General features: G+C 44.7%; 1 long non-coding RNA gene across 1 annotated transcript in view, besides 1 other annotated feature; it reads right to left on the bottom strand.

The window, feature by feature from the left end:
* The window catches only part of FAM242B (family with sequence similarity 242 member B), an 11,757-nt gene extending 4,372 nt beyond the window's left edge, over window positions 1-7,385 (bottom strand). The window contains exons 1-2 of the long non-coding RNA NR_133643.1: window positions 7,254-7,385; window positions 2,799-2,950 (exon numbers count right to left, since the gene is read on the bottom strand). This is a non-coding gene — a long non-coding RNA (family with sequence similarity 242 member B). The remainder of the gene's footprint in view (window positions 1-2,798; window positions 2,951-7,253) is intronic.
* Window positions 1-7,591: part of a centromere (Linear centromere model derived predominantly from reads generated in PMID: 17803354. This region does not represent an actual centromere sequence, as long-range ordering of repeats and unmapped WGS contigs is not provided by the model. For details of model production, see http://arxiv.org/abs/1307.0035.) that runs on past both edges of the window.

Raw genomic sequence — 7,591 nt, 5'->3', positions numbered from 1 at the left:
GGTTCATTCATTCATTGAACAGTGTTTAGAAGTTTGAACAAGCTGGAACAACTTGCCATCATTTTGTTCACTTGTATTCATCTTACTCTCACCACTAGAACTGCAAGGTCCATGAGGGCAGAGGCAGTGTCTGTTGCTGGGTGAGTGACTGGATTGACCTCAAAGCATGTCTGAAGACTGAAATGGTCCAGGCAAGGAGATGGAAACTGGAGGCCTGGATTCTGGGCTCAGTCATACATCCAAGAACATAACTTTCCCTCGACCCTGGAGTCTTCACAGACCTTCCTTCCACTGTGAGGCACTGGAGAATCACTTGAGACCAGACTCAGGGAACTCTTCCCTCATGGGAAGACATTCATTCATCCACTCCATGTCTCTGAAGCCCCAAGAGAAGGATCTGAATCCCCTAGTCTGAAGAGTCAGCAAGTTTCCAACATAGCAATCGTGATAAAAAGGGAGAATTGAAAAAGGAGGGAGCAGCCCCACCTCAGTAACAATAGAGGTAGGAAAATTCCAGCTAGTACATGTACTTAATATGAAAGCAGACATGTGCCAAGACCGTGCTTTCATGGATATTAGGTGTTCCCAAATATAAGAAACACCCATTCTTGCCCACAGGCCTCACTGGATACTATCCAAGATGTCTAGAGAATGAGAGGAAAGAGAGAATAGTAATATCCAAAAGGTGAAAACAACACAAATGTTCACCAATAGAAGAACGGATAAACAAAGTGTGATATATCCATACAATGGAATATTAGTCAGCCTTGAAAAGGAATGAAGTACTGATAAATGCTACAACATGGATGAACTTTGAAAACACTATGCTCAATGAAAGAAGCTAGTCACAGTAGGTCTCTTATTATATGATGCCATTCATATGAAAGTCCAGAATAGGGAAATCTACAGAGACTGAAAGTACATTAGTGTTATTAAGGGCAAGAAGGAATATGGGAGGATAGGGAGGTGATAGCTAAAGGTTACAAGATTTCTCTTTGAGGTGATGAAAATGTTCTAAAATTAACTATGGTTATGGTTTGACGTACATGTGAATATACTAAAACCACTGAATTGTACATTTCAAATGGTGAATTGTATGACACATGAATTATACCTCAAGAAAGTTGTTTTTTAAAAAGACAGTGTAAGGGGTAGGGGGAAGTTGAAATGAAGCAGGAAAACTGTGATCAGGAACAAAGCTCAGGGGCTGTCTGGCCTGGTTGCCCCAAGTCAAAGCCTGCATTTCATACAGGCAATGTTAGGGTAGCCCCCAAACCACGATTCGGAAAGATAAATTGACCCCAGAAGGTATAGGGCTGGGTCCCTTCTCCCCTGACAGCTCCCTTTCTGTGTTTTTTCTGGCACAAGAAACTCTGTCATCTTGTATAAATAGGAGAAATTTATGGCAGTTTTCCTTCTTCTTCTCCCTGGTGGGCTACTAGGAAAGGTCCAGGGGGAGGAGGGAGCCTGAAATTCCAAAAATATAAATGTGGAAAGACTGGAGGGTGTCGAGGAGTCTCTTTGCCTGCCTTGGCTCTGGCCCCAGCTCTCCTTTCCCTTTGCATGTTTGACCATCTGGGTGATGCGGAGGGCAGAGAACTGATGCAGCCCGTTCTCTTTGCAAGCCCAAAAGAGATGGGTCCCAAAGCAGATATCCGACAGGAGGGGCACAAGGGAAATCAAGGAAATAGGCTTGGCTGTCCCATGAAATTATTGGAGGAGACACAGACCACTGCCCTCCTTCCTGGATTTGGCTATTTTTGTACTTCCCTGTTTGTTGAGGCAGCCTGATACAGTGGGAAGAGAACTCGTCCTAGATTTAGAAAGATTGACAGAGAAACTAAGTGTGCGACCTTAAGCAAGTCATATCTTCTCTCTGGGCCTCACCAGTAAAAAGAGGGAGGGGACTGAATTTATCAGGGGTTTTCACATGAGTTTAACTCTGGGCTCCTTCCTTCAAATAAAACCGTATGTAGTGACCCAACATGAACATGAGTAGTAGCCTGCTGAGCTTCTTGAAGGTAGGAATGGGAGTCTCAGGGCCCTGTGGTGACTGGCGAGAGGCTTGTCCAAGCACAAGATGATCTCCATGGCTTTTCCAGCCCTGTCCTCAGGAGGGATTTTCCCCCACGGTGAAGAGGCTCAGTTCTGCACACCCAGTGGGCTTGAAATCCAGCCCCAACCCCTCCTGTGTGTCCCTCAGCACATAACTTACCTTCCTTGAACCTGTTTCCTCGTGTGTAAATTGGAATAATAGTAACACGTATCTCAGAGGATTGTCACATAGATTACACTAAATAATGTGCATAGAGTCCTTCGCATACTATCTGGCCCAATAAATATCATTATAGTTATTCTGTGATCTCATGTAATCAGTTTTTTATTTTGAGACAGAATCTCATTTTGTAGCCCAGACTGGTGCACAGTGGCATGATCTCGGTTAACTGCAACCTCCACCTCCTGGGTTCAAGCAATTCTCCTGTCTCAGCCTCCCAAATAGCTGGGATTACAGGAGTGTGCCACTGTGTCCAGCTAATTTTTGTATTTTTTAGTAGAGATGGGGTTTTACCATGTTGGCCAGACTGGTCTCCAACTCCTGGCCTCAAGTGATCCACCTGCCTCAGTCCCGCACAGTGTTGGGATTACAGGCATGAGCCATCGCACCTGGCCTGATATAATCTTTTTAATTTGAAATATCTGGTGTGAGAAGGTGAATTAGAAAGGATGACAGCAAAACTGCTATAACATAAAGGCCCCAAAACACAGTAGCATATAGAAAACAGAAGTTTATTTCTCACTTAGTCTGGGAGGAAGCGGTTCCAGTCAGCAGGCAGCTCTGTTCCTCCTAGTCAGTCAGGGAAGTGTGTTCCTTTCATATCTTTGTTTTGTCTTCTCTTAGGGATATATTTTCAGTTGCCTGGTCAAACCTGTCTCAGGCACATCTGCCCAGCTCATGAAAGAGAGAACACAAAGGAGAATTTACCCAGTGCCGTCAGGCTTTGAGGACATGCTCGCCTCACATTCCCCTGTGTCTACACCTGGCAACAAGAGCAGCTGGGAAATGGAGTGTCCAGCTGGGTGTCTCTCCACCCTCGGGCAGCAAGGAAAGAAGAGATTTTAGTGGACAATGGGCAGTCTTAATCCAGGGCTCAAACCCACACCTGAGCTGTCCTCTTCCTCTTCTCTTCCCAAAGGAAGGGAAATAAAGTCTACAGCCCAGAAAACAATGTGACCATCCATCCCCTACCCAATAAGGTCCCTGCCATTCATCCCAAGATCAGCAGTCTCCAGAAAGTGGCTTGGAAGCCTCCCTCCAGAAAGACCACCCTTCTGTCCATCTTCTTCACATGGGTGGATGTGAGAAAAGTTTCTGTCCCCACTGCCTGCCTGCCACTCCCTGTCTCAGTTTCAGCTCACACTCTAGCCCTTTGTTCCCAGTCACCAAGAGTGACTACAAATGTGGGGGAACAGGAGGACCTGAAACAGTCATGGAAATTGAGACTGGGACACAGAAGCCATGCTCAGAGGCAGCCTAGGTGAGGGTTCTGATGCCAGGAAATCCAGCTACTACTGTGTAACCTAAAGTGGGGATTAAGCTCTCAGAACTTCAATGATCTCTTTTGGAAATAGGGATAAGAAACCCACTTGTCAGGGCTGTTGTGAACATCAAATGTGATCATGTATGTACCTAGTACATAGTATGCCTTCAATAAATGGTAAGGCAAATGGAAGGCAAATCAAATTCATGTCCATTACTCTGACCAGCCTTTGCATAAATTCTTTTTTCTTCTCCTTCCTTGTCAATGCATGGCTCCCTCCCTCTTCTTTACTTCCTATCCTCATTCCCCTACCATCTGAACCCTGATCTGGAATCTCTTTTCTCAGGAAATCTTCCATGATTGAAAAATTCCTGCTTGACCACTTCCCACTCCAATACTCTATCTTTGCCCATCTTCCATCTACCCCATGGTCCTGGCCCAAGTTTAAATGTGTCCCATCCCTCCCTTCAAAAAGCATGCAGCAATGGAAGGGCTTTAAGTTTGTCATCAAGCAGATCAGAGTTCAGATGCCAACTCTGCCAAGTTCTAGCTTTAGGACTTTGTCAGATCACTTAATCTCTTTGAATCTCTGTCTTCCCAACCCTCTGGTGAGGTCAAGTGTGTGTGAGCTGGTACATAAAGGATATTTAATCTCCTCTGCTCTACCCAACCTCCCCCAACTCACACTCCCAGGACTAACTCTCTACTAAAGGGAGTTATTAGACCAAGAAAGTAATTCTCCTATTACCAGATCCACCCCAACCCTGCCCAGGGAAAAAGAAGTGACTTCGAGTCTATGGGTCTTGGAGGGACCACCAACCCAAGAGCTAGAGCAGAGGAAGGACTTGGATATCCCAGCTTCCAGGGTTATAGGATCTCTCCCCAAGCCCACATATGCAGACCCAGTTACAGGACTAGCTTCAGGGATAGGAGTGAAAGAGTTGATCTGATTCCAATCTTAGCCTGTAAGTAGTAGCTCACCTGTGCCTCTATTTTCAACCTTCCTAGATCAGAAGAGCAACAATATCAATGACAACTAATGCTTACATAGTGTTTCCTATGGGATGGGCATTGTTCCAGGCTCTTCGTACATATAACTCATTTAATCCTGACAGCAGCCTTTGAGCTAGGTACTATTAACCCCGTTTTACAGACAAGGAAACTAAATCACAAGGGGTTAAGTAACTTGCCTAGGTCATACAACTCACATAAGGCATGACCGCGATTCAAAACCAGGCCGTCTAGCTCCAGAATCCATCCTGTTAACCACTCTGCCATAAAAAGAGCTAACATTTACTGGCAGTTTCTATGTGCCAAGCACTGTGGAAAACACATGGCATGTATTTCTTCTAATTCCAAATAACCCCCTGAGATAAGTTCTATTATTAGTATCCCTGTTTTACAGGTCAAGAAACTAAGGCAGAGAGAAAAGTTAAGCAACTTGCCCTGAGTCACACAGCTAGATATTAATAGTTTCAGAACTCCTAGCTGTTTTGCCTCAAATCCCACCTCCCCACCCCTGCTTGAAGCCCCTCCCCTTCTAGGTGGGTTGTTTAGTTCCTATCACCAGTTCTTCACGAATCTGCTTTACCCCCCACAGCCTTCAACCCTTGTTCTCCAAAACTCCTGTTGACCTCCATCCCTTTCCCTTCCCACTTTCTCCCTAGTCCCTCCGCTCCCCACGAAGTCCCCCAAACAATTCTGTCCCTCTCCCTCTGCTCCCCACCCACCATCCCCCACAACTCCTGCTGAAACAGATGAATTTCACCAAAAAAGAACATCAGACTTTCCCCAAGCAGTCCCCCACTGTGCCTGATCGCACACCCTCAGGGGAGGCACCACAGTGGCTAAGCTGGAGAGCCAGAAATAAAATCCTCATTCTACTTCCCTGCCCCCTCTTCCCATCACTCATCTGGGAATCCAGGGTGAAGAAGGGAGCTAAAGTGCAGAGCATTCATTTAATATTAACAAATTGAAATGAATTCTTTTAATGCCAATTAACTTGGAGTGGCCCCTTATTAATAGTAACTTAGATTCATACTTGGGAGAAGCAGGCACGGGGGCTGGGCCAAATGTGCCCAGAATGTCAATGTGACTGGGGAACTGAAAGGGGAGGGGCGGCATTTTTACTTCTGCCCAGTTGGGTTCTGTTTCCCTGAGAGAAATGGACAGTCACTGGAGGCGGATCTTTGGGAAACACAAATTACTCTTGTAAGTTTATTTTTGTTACTTCAAGGAATCTGAATAGTTTGAAGCCATGTCACACTATTTTAATAATTTATTTTCACAGTAATGCTAAAAAGAAGAATTTCCTCAGAGCTGGGATTTACTTCAAACTCTCTCCTAAGCCAAACCTTACTGACTAAAGGGACAAGTCCCCAGGCCAGCTCTCTACCCTTCTTTGTTCAGAGCTAGAGCCAGAGATCAATATGGGCTTCCCCAATCCCTGCCCCTTCTACCTTAACAAAAACTAAAAGGAAGAATCAACACTGTATGTCTCTCTGAGAAGTCTCCCCCAGGAGGTAAAAGACCCAAAGGGCTGACCCCTAAGCTAACAGCTTACATTTAAGGAAGAAAAACAATCTGCCTGCACTTTTCTTAGAATTTAGGGAAAAAATGAGAATTTAAAATTCAATTTCATGTATCAGAGTTCTCCAGAATACAGCCAAGTGGAAAGAACTTAGTCCCAAATGAAAAAGTTGGACAGAAATTCTGCTCTCACTCGTTTTGCCGGCTTGGAGGTGAGACTGGAGGTGTCCTGAACTAGAACCAGAGCATAGGTTCTGACCCAAGAAGGACACTGTCTACTTCCCAGGCATCCGTCCTTCGCTGGGAGGAGAGGGGAGGATGAGTCCGTTGGAAGCTGAGAATTGTGGAAGCTGGGGATGGGAGTTTTGAGATGGAGGAGGCAGGCGCATGAAGGAGGTCAGGGAAAGGCAAGTAAATCTACTAACCATTGCCGTTTATAAAATAAAAACCTTAAAAATGGTTTAACATGCAAAAGGTTAAATTTTAAAAAGAGGTCAGGTTTTAAAGAAGGTAAAATACCTCAAATTTAAACATAATAAAAATGAGGAAAATACACAAAACATTTCAAGCAAATTGTTCTTCAGAAGAGGAGAGGTTGGAATTAATCAAAAGACCTTTTTTACACACACCACCCCAAGAGTTTCCCAAACAATAAATTCATTTACAAAACAAAAAGAGGAATCAACACAAAACCTCATCCACATACAGAGAAAAATAAATTGTGGTGATTCTGTAACAGCTGAAAAACTAGTGAGGGAGGAGAAAAATGAATAAACTCTAAATCCATTAGGTGATATTTATAAATAGCAAAATTGGAGGATGGAATGGAGAAAGGAGTTGCACTTATCATTAAAGAAGTAACACATGTGAAAACATAAGGTGTAACTCATCCCCAAAGAAAAGTAAACTCTCCATAAAGTAGCAAGTATAGAAATTTATTGAAAAGGAGGAAAGTACCTCTCACCCCCCCCCCAATATAAGTGTATTAATTTGAATTAAAATTTTCTCCAAATCCGAGATAGGTTACACAAAAGAATACAAAAAGAATTTTTTTCTTTCAACTAAGAGGAAAAACAAAATCCGATTTAAATTCACTAATGGGACAGGAAGGGAGGCTGTGGTTTGCAGGTGCTAGTAAACGGGATGAGGGTTGTGAAGAGTTTGAGGGGTAGAGGACCAGCTTACCTCGCTTTGGAGCCGCGGCGGCCAACAGGAGTGGGAAAAGGACCCTGCCAGTGCCTGAGTGATAGGGGAAATAAGGAATAGGGGATTCGGGTGCCCCTAGACGAATGAGGAGGATGGAAAAACTGGGGGTGCCCATCTCCCCTCCTCTGCCCGCCTCCCTCCCTCCGGTACCCAGGCCTAGAGAGTTACTGAAAGTTACAAATTGCTTCCATTATTAGCTCATCCCGGGCGGCCTGGTCATTGGCCAGCCCCTGGCCACGTGGTCCCTCATACCAATCTATCGAATTTCTAGTCGCAATTCTCTGTCTGTCCCTCAGCTCTGGGGAGAAAGTGGGGGC

The sequence above is a fragment of the Homo sapiens genome, chromosome 20, assembly GCF_000001405.40.
Source record: "Homo sapiens chromosome 20, GRCh38.p14 Primary Assembly".
Lineage (NCBI taxonomy): Eukaryota > Metazoa > Chordata > Mammalia > Primates > Hominidae > Homo > Homo sapiens.
Note: the sequence above shows the minus strand (reverse complement) of the source record. Positions and strands in the feature narration are given on the sequence as shown.